At 52.1% G+C, this 15,796-nt stretch overlaps 1 protein-coding gene across 14 annotated transcripts in view; it reads right to left on the bottom strand.

Moving 5' to 3' along the window:
* The window catches only part of TOGARAM2 (TOG array regulator of axonemal microtubules 2), a 95,713-nt gene that overhangs the window by 50,178 nt on the left and 29,739 nt on the right, over positions 1 to 15,796 (bottom strand). For 11 of the 14 annotated variants that reach the window (XR_939670.1, XM_047443568.1, XM_047443570.1 and 8 more), the window contains exons 2-4: positions 7,191 to 7,328; positions 3,800 to 3,910; positions 2,585 to 2,872 (exon numbers count right to left, since the gene is read on the bottom strand). Coding sequence is in view for 12 of the 14 variants with exons in the window: in XM_047443568.1 (XP_047299524.1) it covers positions 2,585 to 2,872; positions 3,800 to 3,910; positions 7,191 to 7,218 (427 nt within the window). In the remaining 2 variants the exon portion in view is untranslated. Of the gene's footprint in view, positions 1 to 2,584; positions 2,873 to 3,799; positions 3,963 to 4,386; positions 4,575 to 7,190; positions 7,329 to 7,479; positions 7,795 to 15,796 lie in introns of those variants that run through there. The other 3 variants (XM_047443567.1, XM_047443574.1, XM_047443573.1) reach the window with 3 other exon arrangements.

The following is a 15,796-nucleotide window of genomic DNA, read 5'->3' as shown; positions in this document are numbered from 1 at the left end:
GACAGACCGCCACACTTCCAGCTCCCCTCTGAATGCTTTAGGTGCCCAACAGACATCTTCAGCGCCCTGTGCCCCACCCCATCTCACCCCACAGCCATGCCTCAGGCAAAGGCACAGGGCAAGAAGCACTGGGTTGGGCCAAGAGCTCAGGGTTATCTTTGTAAATATCAGTGATGAGGAATAAAAAAAAAAAAAAGACTAGCATTTTAACTTTCATTCTGGCCTCAACAAAACCACTGCATCAAAACAGCCAAGTCAGGCCAGGCGCAGTGGCTCACGCCTGTAATCCCACACACTTTGGGAGGCCGAGAACGGGAGGATCACTGGAGGTCAGAAGTTCAAGACCAGCCTGGCCAACATGGTGAAACCCCATCTCTACTAAAAATTAGCCGGGCGTGGTGGCACATGCCTGTAGTCCCAGCTACCGGGGAGGCTGAGGCAGGAGAATCGCTTGAACCTGGGAGGTGGAGGTTGCGGTGAGCCGAGATCGCACCACTGCACTCTAGACTGGGCAACAGAGCAAGACTCGGTCTCAAAAAAAAAAAAAAGATTAGCTGGGCCTAGTGGTGGTTGTCTGTAATCCCAGCAACTCAGGAGACTGAGGCAGGAGAATCACTTGAACCCAGAGGTTGCAGTGAGCCAAAATCGCACCACTGCACTCCAGCCTGGGTGACAGAGCGAGACTCTGTTCCAGAAAAAAAAAATTAAAAAAAAATAAACCAGCCAAGTCAAAATATCATCTCTGTTCCTGCACACTCGCTCCCCTCCTGGCTTCCGGTGCTGGTTCTGTTCTGTCTTGGAGCACTGTTGTGTTGTGGTTAGCCTGTGGGGAGCTGAAAGGATGGAAAAGAAGGGGTGTGGTCAAGTGGAGACTGTGCCACTTGCCGGGCCACCTTGAGCCCCAGCTGGGTCAGGGCACAGAGGAGTCAACTCAGCCTCAATGCAGGGGCCAGAGCAGCCCCAGCACTGCCCGGGGGCCAGAGATCCCCGGCCCTCCATGCTTGCTGAGGGGCCTGATAAGTCTATAGGTCACTGCCCATCAGAACATTAGGTAGAACAACTCCATTCTTTTTTTCCCTATGCTGGAACTTTGTAAAAAAGAAATGAAATATCTAGAAAAGGGCTTCAAGCCCCTAAGGGAGAGAGTTGTTGGTCTGGCAGCTCTAGGAGTTGTACCTACTGGAAGTTCTAAGGAAGCTTCTCGGGCATTCCAACCCCACCTTCTGCCTCCATAATGTGCAGCCAGGACAATTCCTCCCAGAGGCTCCCTGGCATTGTCCTGGGCTCCCCGGGAGCTGGAGACACCCCACGGCTCCAGGGAGAGGCTCAGCAGGTGGAGCAGTCTGCACAGGGGAGGGGAAGAACAGCCAACCACAACCCCAGGCTTGACGGCAGCAACCACGTGCCTCTTGAGAGCACTTCCCCTTTCTTCCTAAGACCTCAAGACTTCTTATTGCTCTTGTTACCCAAGAGTTCATTCCGCTGAAAAGAGCCCGTATGATTCACCCAGAAGAGGAGAGAAGGAAGGAAAATAGTAACAATGTATTAAGTTCTTCCCATATGCCAGGTGTTGAGAATTCTGTGTACAAGTTTTCATTAAACCCCCACAGTAACACAGAAGTATTATTAATAGTGTCCCCATTCCACAGAGGAGGAAATCGAGGCCTGAAATGTTACCGACCTGCCCAAGGCCCCAGAGCCAGTGAGTATCGGGGCTAAGATTTGAACTTGGCTTGTCCACCACACAGATGAGAGACAGTATAAAGTGCCTGCTGTTGAATCCCTTGTTCATCTGCTCAACAAACGTTTCTTGAGAGCCTCCTAGCTGCCAAGCGACTGTGCCTCACACCGAGATCTCAGTCACTGCCCTCTTGGAGCTGACAATTACATGCAAGATTCAGGTTTTAAATAGTCACAAAAGTAAAAATATAAATGCAAACCATGAAAAGAACTGAAGGAAAAAAATGATAGGGCATTATTGGAGAGCATCCTAAGGGGCAAACTCACATTGGGGAGTCAAGGAGGCCTCTTTGAGGAGGGCTTTGAAGCCAAGAAGGGAGGCTGGGTGGGGATTTTCTGAGTGGGAAACGGAGGAGGGGTGGGGGAGGAGCAGTGGCTCTAAACCTCAGGCAGGAAAGAGCCCACAAGCCCCAGGCCCTGGACAGCAGAGACCGAAGGCAGAGAGTGACACAGTTGGGGTGAGGCCAGGGCCAGAAGGTCTTGTGCATAAGGGAACATTTGGGATCTTAGTCTAAGCACATCCAAAACCTACTGGCTGATTTTGAGCATAGTTGGTGGAAATGGGAAGAACATTTGCTTAAAAGGATCCTTCTGGAGCAAGACTAGAAGGCGCAAGGGTGGGAATGAAGAGGCCAGTCGGGAAGCACTGCAGAGCCCGGGAGGGAGGCTCAGCTCCAAGGAGGTCGCTGAAGCCATAGAGAAGGTACCTGGTATGTACCCACCGATCACCCCCAGGGCATCCCAGCATGCCACCTGGAAGCCTGCTGACCCTCACAGCCCTGGAGGCCTGCGGCCCTTGACCTGGAAGTGGGTGGGTGAGGGGTGGGCAGGGGCCAGTGCTCACCTCGGGAAGACGCTGCCAAGCCCTCTGAGAGCCTCCTTTTCTTGAGCTTGTCCTTAATCTGGATGGTGTCCCTGGCCACGCTGTTGGCCTCTGACTCCGGAGAAGGGAGGAGCACCAGGGGCTGGTCCCCCAAAGACAAGGCCCTGAGGTTCCTGGGGTGACCATTCCTTGCCTGCCAGCCCTTGGAAGGGGTGTCCAGCTTGAGGCCACCCAGCTGTCCGAGTCCACGCAGGAGCTGTGACGGTTCCTCGTTGTTCAGCAGGGCTCTTGGCTCAGGCTGGAGAGAACCTGAGGGGGACAGAGGTGTGAATGGCTTGGCACGCAGTACCCAGGGTGGCACCAGGCACCAGCAAGCTCCTTGACATTGCTTCCTTCTAACAGGCAGCCACTTGCCTGGTGAAACCCAGTCATTTAATGTTTCAGTCACTCCTGGGGACGAGTCATTCATTCGACAGTGTCTCTGAAGCACCTAATCTTCACAAGACCCATGCCACAAGGTGCTCAGGACAAAAGGGGGAATCCACAGGCAGTCCTATGGCAGCACAGACAAGAGGCCGTGAATCATAGGGAAGGTCGTCTGCCCAGGGACCACCATCCACCAATCTCCAGGGTCCAACAAAGTCATCAGATCCCCGAGCACTGACCTATGCCAAGCACAGACTACAAGGAGGAACTCAGGCATCTCAGAGCAAATCACCCCCACCCCCAGCAGACACACCAGATGGGAGAGAAACAAAATACTCTGCACATTTAGAGGAGGTAAGAGGTTCTAGAAGACCTTCAGGAAGTGGTGCTCTTCACCTGGGCCCTGGGGGAGCATTCAGACAGGTGGGCTCTCAGAAGCTTGGCCACAACCCAGCCCCTCCAGAGACCCAGGCTGCAGATGCTGGACAAGTGGCAGAGACGCTGAGTGGACATCTTGAGAGGGGCCCCCTCCCCATTGCCAACCTGGGTGCTGAGTGCACTCCCAGGTCCAGGCGCATGCAGAGAGCCCTGCTCCCTATTCCTGCGGGTCCCCCTCTGCACACCTCCAACCTCTGAGGCACAGGATCAAAAGAACCTGCCTTTGAAAGAATCAAAGGGTATTTTCAGCAGGAGCCACAGGAAAAATAACACCTGCTGGTAGCTCGAGAACACAGCCGGCATCTACCACACTCACTCCCCGCTCCAGGATGAGGCCAGGGGCCCTGACCAGGTGAGGTCTTCCCATCTCACCTTCTCCATGAGGCAGACTGGAGTTGATGCTTCCAGGCGGGAGCACCCGGGGCCCAGCACTGGTCCGAGGGATGCTCCCGCAGTACACGGCCACGGGGACCAGGACCTTGGCTGGAGACAGAAGCACAGGAGAGCAGCACCTGAGAGTCCTCCAAGGCCAAGACTGGGAGCAAACCAAGAACACCCGGCCGTAACCCTGAGCACTCCACCCCGCAGGGTCCCTGCCCAAAAAACCAAGGCATGTGGTGGCCCCACCCCCAACACCAGAGCCTGGCAGGGCCAGGCAGGGTGCCTGTGATCTCCACCAAATCCCTCCAACCCCGCTTGCCCCAGCCTCTCAGCCTGGCTGCCTCCTCCCTCCTCGCATCCTGGCTTTGTTCCAAACCCCCCTCCATGCCTTTTCATCTCCTTCATGGGCACCCCTCTTCCATCACCCAACATCATTGACCGATGGAGTGCCCATCCCCAACCTCTGTCCACCAGCTGCTCTCCCCAGGACACTTCCTCACTGCCACACCCTGCAGATAATCCCCTACCCTACGGCTTCCGCCCTGACCAATCCCACCCGTTACAGAGCATCCAATTACCTTGCCAATTCCTTTTTGGAAGTCCCCAGGCACCTCATCAGCATGTCCTACACTGATCTTCCCTCTTCTCTCCTAACGTCCCTCGGCTCAGCAAAAGACACCCTCTATCCGCGACACAGAGATTTGTGAACACTCTCTGTGCAGTGAGACAGTAGTGGGCAAGGCTGACTCAGTCCTCAGTGAGACTTGAAGTCTGGCGGAGAACACAATGATTAAGAAGCAATGACAGTGCGGGGCCTGGGAGCCCGGCCAGAGATGGGGACAGAAAAAGCTTCCCAGAGGGAGGGACCACTGAGCTGAGAGCATACAGGGAGCAGGAGTCAGGAAAGAGGAGGGGAAGTTCAGCTAAGGCATGCGCTCCTTTAAGAAGCCTTCCATCTTTTGCCAGTTTTTAAAGCAGATTCTCTGTTTTTGTTACTGAGTTGTTTGAGTTCCTTATATATTCTGGTTATTAATCCTTTGTCGGATGGATAGTTTGCAAATATTTTCTCCTATTCTTCACTCTATTGACTGTTTCCTTGTGTCTACAGAAGCTTTTTAACTTGATGGAATCCCATTTGTCTATTTTTGCTTTTGTTGCCTGTGCTTTTGAGGTCACTGCTGGATGAATATCCAACAGAAAGTAAATCAGTACATTGAAGAGCTATCTGCACTCTCATGTTTATTACATTATTCACAATAGCCAAGACATGGAATCAGCCTAAGTGTCCATCAATGGATGAATGGATAAAGAAAATGTGGCACATATACACAATGGGATACTATTAGGCCATAAAAAAGAATAAAAAAAGAATCAAATCCTGCCACTTGCAGCAACATGGATGGAACTGGAGGTCATTATCTTTTTTTTTTTTTTTTTTTTTTTTTGAGATGGAGTCTCAGTGGTGCGATCTCGGCTCACTGCAACCTCCGCCTCCTGGGTTCAAGTGATTCTCCTGCCTCAGCTCCCCCTAGTAGCTGGGATTACAGGCACCTGCCACCATGCCCAGCTAATTTTTTTGTATTTTCATAGAGACAGGGTTTCACCATGTTGCCCAGGCTGGTCTCGAAATCCTGAGCTCATGCAATCTGCCCGCCTCTGCCTCCCAAAGTGCTAGGATTACAGATGTGAGCCACCACTCCCAGCCTGGCAGTCATTATCTTAAGTGAAGTAAGCCAGGCACAGAGAGACAAATTCTACTTGTTTTCATTCATATATGGGAGCTTAAAAAGTCAGTCTCACAGAGGCAGAGAACAGAATGGTGGTTACCAGAGACTGGGAAGAGAAGGGGGTGGAATGAAGAGAGGTTGGTTAATGGGTACAAAAATACAGTTAGATAGAAGGAATGAGAGCTATTGTTTGATAGTATAGTAGGGTGACTATAGCTCATAATAATGTATTGTATAATTCAAAATAGCTAGAATTGGAATGTTCCCAACATCAAGAAATGGCCAGTGGTTGAGGTGCTGGAAATCCCAATTACCCTAATTTGATCATTACTCATTGAATGCCTGTATCCAAATATCACATGTACACCCAGAAAATATGTACAACTATTATGTGTCAATATTTTTAAAAGAGAAAGAGAAGCCCTCCCTCTCCTGTGTTCCCACAGCCCCAGGCACAGCCCTGTGTTACTCTCTCTTCCCCATGCCTCTCTCTGTTCCTGCCCTGCAGCTTCCCTAGGAACAGTCACTGTGTCTTACTCATCTCTGTAGTACTGTACCTGCTGCTAAGTAGGCACTTCACAAACGTGGGTCCCACACCCTCCTGGCTCAGCCCTTCCCGAGCCCACCTCAGGACCATCCATGGGGACCTAAGCCACCACCTGGAGAAGCCACCACGCAGGTGGAAACCCAGCTCGTCCATCCCCAGGCTGCAAGACTCCTAGTCTGGAACTCAGGAGCCTGGGTTCCCACTTTTTCCACCTGTGTGACCTTGAGGAAATAAGCTAACTTCTCTGAGTCTCAGTTCCCACATCAGTAAAGCAAAGGAGTTGACAGCACTAAAGGTTCATACAACATCTTTATCCTATTTCTAGATTTGTAGATTTTTCTTTCTAAGATCTCAGCACCTCCCACTTCTCCACTGGAATCTACATTCAGGTGGGATCTGCTTTAGCACTAAAGTAAGCAGGTCTTTTCCGATTCATATGTCGAAGCCCCGGGGAGTTCTGCCGTGTGCATCATGCGCTGTCTCCTGAACCGCTGCTCTGGCCATCCTGCTTCTCTGCCTTCCTTCCAAATGGCCATCTGGCCCCTGCTCCAGCCCATGCAGGATGAAGCAGCTCTGCACCTTGCTAGCACCCATTTCATCTGGGGCAGAACCAATCCCCTCACTTTCCAGGGGAAACTGAGGCTCACCCAGCCAGCTCCCAAAAGCAGAGCCAGGCCTCAAGGCCCATCTCCTGATGCTAACTGGCCACACACTGCTCCCACTACCCCACTTGGTTGGCTAAGGAAACAGAGTCGTTCACCCTCCCTGAGGGCCCGGCCCATATCCCCTGCCCATCCACATAACCTTGACCACAGAACAGAATTAGCCCCTCAAGGAACCAACCACCCTGCTGCAGAGAGTGGAGATAAAGCTCAGGCCAAGGCCCTGGAACACCAAGCACCTCCTTAGGCCAGGGAGCCACCCAGACAGCCAGCTGAGCGGCAGCATGTGGGGAGCTGGCCAGGGCTGGAAAGGCACGGCCACCTGGCTGTTATCTCCCAGCAGCCCTTTATCCCCACATCTCCCTTTTTCTGGCCCTTGGGAGTGTCCGAGGCAGGTCCCCTAGCCTGGAAAACACCAGCAGCAGGCCTCCCATGGTGCCCCTTACCTTCGGGGACATCGTCACGGGTGCCCATGTCCTGGGTGGAGAAGGTGCCTACAAGGTTGCCCAGAGGCAGCAGCTATTTCTGGGCAGTGAGTACAGTCCTTGGGGGTCTGGAGGGCTCTGACCTGTAACATCCGGGACCTAAGGGTGAGAGGAGAAAGGAGAAGTCAGTAAAAGCAAATTAACACTTTTAAACTACTTCACAAAAAGCCCTTCAGGGGCTAAAGCATTATTGTCATGAAGAAATCGGCCACTAAACCAAAGGATGCCATTTTTCTGACATTGGACTCACAAATGTTTCAGTTCCCAAGTGCGAGGCCGTGTGGTTTTGGGAAGAGTTCGTTATGAAGAGTGTCAACAAAACCCATCAACCTGCCATCCCTTGTCACTGAGACATGGACACCTTTAGGGTCGCGGGGAAAGATGATTTTTTTCAAGGTAGTGTCTGACACTGTGTTTCTCCATCAGTTTCAATTTGCTTCAGATGCCCCTGAGTCCGCCAGCTGCCCTGAAAGCCCATGGCGATGTTGGCCTCTGCAACCACTGATCACACAGGTGTTGGCGGGGCCTCTCGGACACCAGTTCTCCAGTCTCTCTCAGGATGCGCGGTCATGACCTCCATGACGTCCTTGGTGCTCCTTCTCACCTGACTGAACAAGCCACACCTGTGACCCCCCTCAGCCACCGCATTGCCCACACCTTGATCCCTCCAGCCCTCCCTTCAGCCTCTGGGTCAGCCCTCAGCTCTTGCCCTTGACCTAACTTCATTTTATTTCCATGTGACAGGGTCTCACTGCACACTCTGCAGCTTCACACAATTCTATGAATCCTTTGCTGCGATAATGGTGACCCGTTTTCCCCTGACAGGTAACAGAGGTGCTTCCAGAGCTGATCTGTGGTAAGACCAGGGGTGAAGCCCACAGCTCCTAATTTCTACCCCAGAGAGGAGTTCTCGTCCACAAAGCGTCTGGGGACAGGGCAGGAACCTGTGCCAACTCCCTTTTCTGAGCAACAAATCCCAACTCAGGAACTGAGAAACTTGCCTTCTGTCTGGAAGCCAGCCAGCCACTGCCCCACCCAGGCCCCAGAAGGCAGAGTAGCTCCTAGCAACCCTCAACCCAAACACAGGTGTCCAGCCCAGTGCCCGGCCCAGCACAGCACCCAGCCCAGCACCCAGCCCAGCTTGGCCCCAGCCTGGTCTCACTGCTTAGAACCTCAAGACATGAGTTCCCTGTCTGAGGAGAATTTTCCTCACAACCAGGGAGAGGGGAACTCTCTGTTTAATATCTACTGGGATAAGGATGTGGCCACACGGTGGTGAAAAGCAGTCCTGAACCCCTGTGAGACACAGCACCTCTCCTAGACAAGGCGAGGGAAGATTCTATTCCACAGGCACCAACACCCCAAACTTCACCCCCTGAGCTAGGGAAGAGGCTCAAGAGATTGGCCAGGCAGCTGGTTTCCAGACAAAGTCCAGCAGGAATGTGGCAGGCTGGCACAGACCTTCCATGGCTGAATTATAGCAAACAAGCTGGGGTCCTGGGATTTGGGGGCTGTGAGAGTTGCAAGCCCCACCTGTTCCCCATATCTCTAACCAGAGGATACACTTTCTACGAAAATTATATGCAGAAAAGCAATATTTAGCTACAGTCTTTGTTCTCCTTAACTGCAGATTACAATAGCCTGGAAACCAATTAAAATTACAGATTTCCACGCCCCACCTCCAGCCCCTGCTGAATTAGGTCTAGGAAATAGGCCACAGGGATTTTTTTTTCTTTAACTTCTGATTTTTTTTTTTTTTTTTTTGAGACAGAATCTCTCTCTGCCACCCAGGCTGGAGTGCAGTGGCATGATCTTGGCTCACTGCAACCTCCACTTCCCGGATTCAAGCCATTCTCCTGCCTCAGCCTCCCAAGTAGCTGGGATTACAGGCATACATCACCATGGCCAGCTAATTTTTGTATTTTTAGCAGAGATGGGGTTTCACCATGTTGGCGAGGCTGGTCTCAAACTTCTGGCCTCAAGTAATCTGCCTGCCTCGGCCTCCCAAAGTGCTGGGATTACAGGCATGAGCCACCACACCCAGCCTTAACTTCTGATTTTGATGTTCAGACAGGATCAAAAAATCACTGGTCTGTAGTTCAGATTCACTTTATAATAAGATCTCGGCCCTATTTCTTACCCTAGGCTGTCAGAATGGTCATTGCTGCTTCAGTTTCCCCAAAGTGATCACTCTCTAGGAGGCTAAAAAGAAGACTCGAGCCGCCTGAGGTTACGGGATGCTTAAGTTTCAACAGCCACCCCTACTGCAGTGGGCCTTCTGAACAAGACAGTTTTCCCACCGTAGCCTCCTCAGTGGTCAGAGGTCAACATGCCAAGGCAGCCCAGGTTCCCCCTGGTCCCAGGACACCAGCAGTATGGAAAGGAAATCTGGAGCCATTCCATGGCTCGCCAAAGCATCCCCTCCAGCAGAGCCCCTTTGAGACCCTCTCAGGGTCTACACCTTCGACCCTTCAGGCCCCAGGGTCTAGTGCAGGATCTCCTAGGTGCCCGCCCAAGAGGAGGTGGCCAAAGCTGCTATGGACAAACAAGCCTGACTAACGTGAGCGCAGTGAGAGGCACCACCCCAGGAAATCACTTTGGCCCAGGGACCTGTAGGAACTGAATGATCCATATCCAAACTATAAAAATCAGAATCAGGAAGTCCAGCACAAGTGTGGACAGGGCAGACACCACTGAGCACCTGACCCCCAAGGCACAATTCACCGAGGCCCCATCACACCCAGCACTGCTCTGGACACTAAGGCGCTACTCTCCCCTGTTAGAACAGCCAGCCCCTGACCCAAAGGGCTAAATGAGCCAGTGGATTCTGGTGACCAGGATCTTGTCCTCACTTCCTGATGCTCTGAATTGCTCTGCCTGGCTGGCTTCTCCCCTCTCAGCCTCCGTTTCCCAGCCCAGGGAATGGGGCGACCCGGGGTAAGTAACCGTTGTCCCCTCCTCCCATTAATGCTATGGCTACAGAGGTTCCATAGTGACCGGGGCCATAGGAATGAAGAAAGGTGACACAGGGGACTCAAGTGTCAAGTGGAAAGGGAACAAAAGCTAGCTAGGGCTGGCCCAGTAAAGAAGTTCAGTCCCAAGCACAAAACCCCAACCACCCGGGCCTCGCACAGTCCACAGGGAGCGTGCAGCTCCACGCCCACTCTGCTCCCAAGGAGCTGGGCAGACTCATCCCACCCACCACAGCCCTGGGGCTGCCGCTCCCACAGCTTCTCTTTCTGTCATGACACCACCCGCTCCGACTTTCAGAGACCTCTGAGACGTCTCCAGCCAGAGTTCTCATCTCCTCAGACAAAGCTGGTGGGAACAGTAGAGCCCACACCAAGGTGACAGAGAAAGGAAGGAGGGGTGAGCCAGGCTGAGGGGAAAGGTGGCAGCGTTTACAAACTCTCATTCTGGAACCAAAAACATGGCCCCCACTGACACACTCTCGGAAGAGAGGCCTCAGATCTAGGCCCCCCTCCCGTCTCACACCCCACAAGCCAGTATGCACCCAGTGTCCAACTCAGAACTCCCAGAACACTGGCTGTGGGCTCAGACACAGTGGGGCTGGAATCCTGCCCCGGGCCCTCTTGTGTAAACTTGGCAAGCTGATTTAATTCCTCTGAGCTTCAGTTTCTTCATCTGAAAAAAATGTCCTAACAAGGGGTTTTGTTAGGAATAAATGAAGTAATGTTAGAAATAACAGTCCTATTGCCGGCATATAGTAATTGCTCAATAATGTCAGGTGTGAATCTTCCTTCTTTTTCCCTGGGGAAAAGCCACACACACACACACACACACACACACACACACACACACACACACACACCCTTCACACACACACACACTCGCATGTCCATACACCCACACTGTCTTTAAAGTTATGACAGGCCGGCCCTCCATTCCTATAAGACAGACCCAGGTGACAGAGACGCCTCTCATGCGGAGGAGACAGATATGTCTATAGAATAAGAGGCTCAAACTAGATGTTGCCTTCGACCCCCTCCAGCTCTCACCCATGAGCCCACATTTCTAAGCGAATGCTGTCTGTAATGCCAAGCAGAGAAGGTGAACGTTCACTGTCACGCCCGACAGGACAAAGTAACCCTGCTACAGAGATGAGCACTCAGGGATACCCTCCATACTGTCTGACTAGGGCACCGGAGAGGCTCCACAGAAAAGCAGCATCCGTGCTGGGCCTGGAAGTAGGATCAAAACGGGTAGGAAATGGGGTCTAAACGGGTAGGAAGGAGGAATGGCATTCCAGGCCGAGGAGGCGGCCTAAGGCAAGCGTGGAGGAGATGCGCCTGTGAGTCTGGGGTCTGGCAAGAGGATCCAGGCCCGGGGAGCGGGATGAGGGCCATCGGGGGAGACCCAGAATGCTCTGTGAGAGGGTCGGGGCTTGCTCTGCAGCCCCGGGAAACTCTGAAGACTGTGCAAGGAGAGGAATGGCATTATCTGACCTGCAGTTTCATGCAGACCCCTCAAGTGGGGCCTTGGAAGGACTTCCTAAGGAAGGGGAGCCTCGGAGAGAATTACAGCACTGACATGTAGAGATGTCAGCCCAGCCTCTGGACCAGGCACAGAAAATAAACAACTTAACCAGGATTTCACACTGATTATACGCAGGGTTTAGACTGGACAGAACATGCCTTCCTGTATCTCGTGCTGTCTCCCTGTGGACAAGAAACAGCTACCCATGCTTCCAATCACCATACACATACATCTCACCCCTCCACCCACCTCTGCTCCCCTCATGGGAGGCAGCCCAGGCCGTAGACCTGCAGGGAGGACTCTGGATGTTGTCAGGTGACCAACTTATGAGACTCTGACCTCCAGAGTTCGGCCTGCCACTGAAAATGTGAGATTCACTCATTCATTCAAACATGCCATAGGTACTAAGATATGAAGGGGAATAAGACTAAAATCCAGCACCTGCAAGCTGTGTGACTGAAGGCACGTTGCTAAACTTCTCTGAGCCCCAGCTCTTTTAACTGCAAAGTGGAAATACTGCTGTAATCCTGGCACTTTGGGAGGCCAAGGCTGTCTGATCGCTTGAGTTCGAGACCAGCCTGGCCAACATAGTAAAACCTCGTCTCTATAAAATACAAAAATTGGCTGGGCATGGTGGCTCACACCTGTAATCCTGGCACTTTGGGAGGCCAAGGCTGGCAGATCGCTTGAGTTCAAGACCAGCCTGGGCAACACAGTACTGGGCAACACAGTAAAACCTCATCTCTACAAAAATACAAAAATTAGCCAGGCGTGGTGGCCTGTGCCTGTAGTCTCAGTTACTTGGGGGTGCTGAGGCAGGAGGATCACTTGAGCGCAGGAGGTTGAGGCTGCAGTGAGCTGAGATTGTGCCACCGCACTCCAGTCTGGGCGACAAAGACCCTGTCTCAAAAAAGAAAAAAAAAGGAGATAATGCTTATCTCACTTCAATATTGCATTCAATAAAATATGAAAAGCGGGCCCGGTATGGCGGCTTACACCTGTAATCCCAGCACTTTGGGAGGCCAAGGTGGGCAGATCACTTGAGGTCAGGAGTTAGAGACCAGCCTGGCCAACATGGCAAAACCCCATCTCTACCAAAAAATACAAAAATTAGCTGGGTGTGGTAGCACAAGTCTTTAATCCTACCTACTCAAGAGGCTGAGGCAGGAGAATCACTTGAACATGGGAGGCAGAGGTTGCAGTGAGCTGAGATCACACCACTGCACTCCAGCCTGGGCGACAGAGCAAGACTCCAGCTCAAAAAATAAAAATACAAAAACCTGACCACAAGAGAGTGCCCAGAGCTAAGGAACATCCCAGGGAGCAGCAGCATTGAGCAGAGATGGGTAGAGAAGGGGAGACCCTAAGGGGGTCTGATCAAGGACAGCCAGGGAGGCCAGGGGAGTTGGCGCCAGGAGAGCCAGATGAGCAGAGAGTGGTTAGAGGTGTCAGCTCAGCCAATTGGATGTGACCATTATGGAATCATCGGGAGCTTAGTGAGAGCAAGGTCTGTGCCTGTGGAGGCATGCGGGTCACAGAAAATTGCTGAGGTCTGAGGCGTGAGTGGAAGGTATAGAGATGGTGAGTCCAAACAACGCTGGAGAATTTGGATGAGAAAGGCAGGAGAGAGGTTGGAGAGTAGCTGGAGGGGAATGAAGGGTGGATGAAGCTGTGTTGTTTGCTTGTTTGTTCTCTGTATTTTTTGTTTGCTTGTTTGTTCTCTGTATTTTTCAGGGTAGGAGATTCTAGAGCGTGTTCACAGGAGGAGGAGAAAGAGTCAGAAGGAAAAGGCTGAAGACACAGGGGAGGGAGGGGAGCTGATGGAGCGGGAGCCCAGTGCTAACAGCTGAGGGAGAAGGGCACAGGCTGGGCCAGATGGGAGCACCAGTCCTCGGACCCTGGAGGAAGAGCCAAGGGTCCTACAGAGGGAGAGGTCAGGAAGAGAGAAAGGGCACGTAGAACGGCCTTGATATTGGCAGTGAAGAGGGAGGTGAGTCTGCTGCACATGAGAGCTGGACTCAGGAGTGTGAAGTTCTGAACAGTCACGGAGACATATTCTGACTTTAGAAGAACCAAACCATTCCTTTCCTTTCCTCTCCCAGATGCCTCCATCTTTATTAGGAGGGCTTCTTACAGGCAGCACCTACCCTTGTGATTTCAATTGCCATCTGATTATCGGGACTTCCAAGCCTACCGTAGAGCCCAGACCTCCCTCTCTGGAGCTGCAGACAAGCTGCAAGGAGGCCTGGATGGCTCCACCTGCATGTCCATCTTTATTAGCTTGGGGCAGGGCTGGTTTCCACACTGACCCTCAACTCGGCCACTCCTAGAGCTGGCAGTCCCAAGAGCCACTTCACCCCCAACTGCGAGACTGATGTCCACACCCATCAGACCCCCTGTGGGGGCATCCAAGGCCCCCCGCCACTCAGGCCCCTGACTCCAGCTGTGACTGGCATGTGGGGGCCAGCAGAAAGGCCGTTCGCAGATGAGAAGCCCCCCACCACAACTCTTTACCAGCTCTGGGTCTACCACCACTGCTGCAGATGGCGTCTCCTCTCCCATCGTGAGATCAGGTGGGGTTAATACTCCTGTAGCCACTCTGTTCTCAGACAATATAGGGTGCAGCCAGCCAGCAATTCCACAGAATGCAGACAAAGGGACAAACAGTGCCAGGTTCATGGCAATAATGCAGTAACTGTAGTGTGACTGAATGAATGAATTCAAAACTAAAGCACATTGGCCGGGTGTGGTGGCTCACACCTGTAATCCCAGCACTTTGAGAGGCCGAGGTGGGCGGATCACGAGGTCAGGAGATCGAGACTATCCTGGCTAACATGGTGAAACCCCATGTCTACTAAAAATACAAAAAATTAGCTGGGCGTGGTGGTGGATGCCTGCGGTCCCAGCTACTCGGGAGGCTGAGGCAGGAGAATGGCGTGAACCTGGGAGGCGGAGTTTGCAGTGAACCGAGATCATGCCACTGCACTCCAGCCTAGGTGACAAAGCAAGACTCCGTCTCATAAAAAAACACTAAAGCACATCTTCCAGACAGTCTTATTGAGAAGAACCTAAGTGAAGGAATTAACATTTCTTAGTTCCATTTTGCTTTGCGCCCGGGGCAATGTACTACAGTGTGCTTCCAAATACTATGTCATTGAGCTTTGGAAATAGAGAAAGAAAGTATGTATTTTCATCTTCATTTTATAGACAAGATGATTGAGGTTCAGAGAGGTTAAGTAACTAGGTTGAGGCCACAGAGCTACTAAGTAGAAGAGTCGGGGCTGATGGTTTCTGTTCACGGAGGTGGCAGTATTTCAGGGCATTCATTCAGGAGTCAACAGGGTTAAATTCCATCACCTGCTAGCTGTGTGACTTCAGGCACATGATTAAAGTTCTCTGAGTCTCCATTTAACTGCGAAATGGAAATAATAATATCTATCTCCAAGGTTATTGAGAATATTCCACAAAATATGAGAAACATTTAATAGGCTGATTGGGCCCAAGGGCTCGATCCACAGTGGCTATTAATAGTATTGGTTGTTTAGTAACTGTTTTGCTGTGTTCAGATGTTCAGGAAGAGGGGAAATGTCCCTTTTGAAAGCCTTTGGGCCAAGAAGCTACAGAGGCCTGGCTGAGGCTGGACAGCAACACGGAGGTGCCACCTTGTGCAGCAGGAGGTCCTTCCATTTCCTGAGCTGTCCAGGGTGAGCAGGAAGCAGTGGGCAGGCTGGGGCGGGACACTTACAACAGGGGTCAAGTAGCACGTTGCTGGGAAGAACCTTTCTTAACAGAACAGTCTGTTCAGGAGGCAGTTCACACCTGAATCTAATGACCTCCCAGGACAGGGCAGAGGAAGTGGTCAGAAACCCAAAGCAGCACTTCCCAACTGTTTTATGCCCAACGCAGCCGAGGAATGTGGCCATCCATTTGTAATAGCAGCTCAGTGTGGGTATCTCGGGTTGGGGGTGGATGGGCCGCAGCATTTAAAACATCCCCCCTCCACAACCCCAGGAAATTCTGATGTGAGAATTAACAGTCTAAAAGACATAGGAAAGCCTAGGGGGAGAGAA

This window comes from Homo sapiens, chromosome 2 (assembly GCF_000001405.40).
Source record: "Homo sapiens chromosome 2, GRCh38.p14 Primary Assembly".
NCBI lineage: Eukaryota > Metazoa > Chordata > Mammalia > Primates > Hominidae > Homo > Homo sapiens.
Note: the sequence above shows the minus strand (reverse complement) of the source record. Positions and strands in the feature narration are given on the sequence as shown.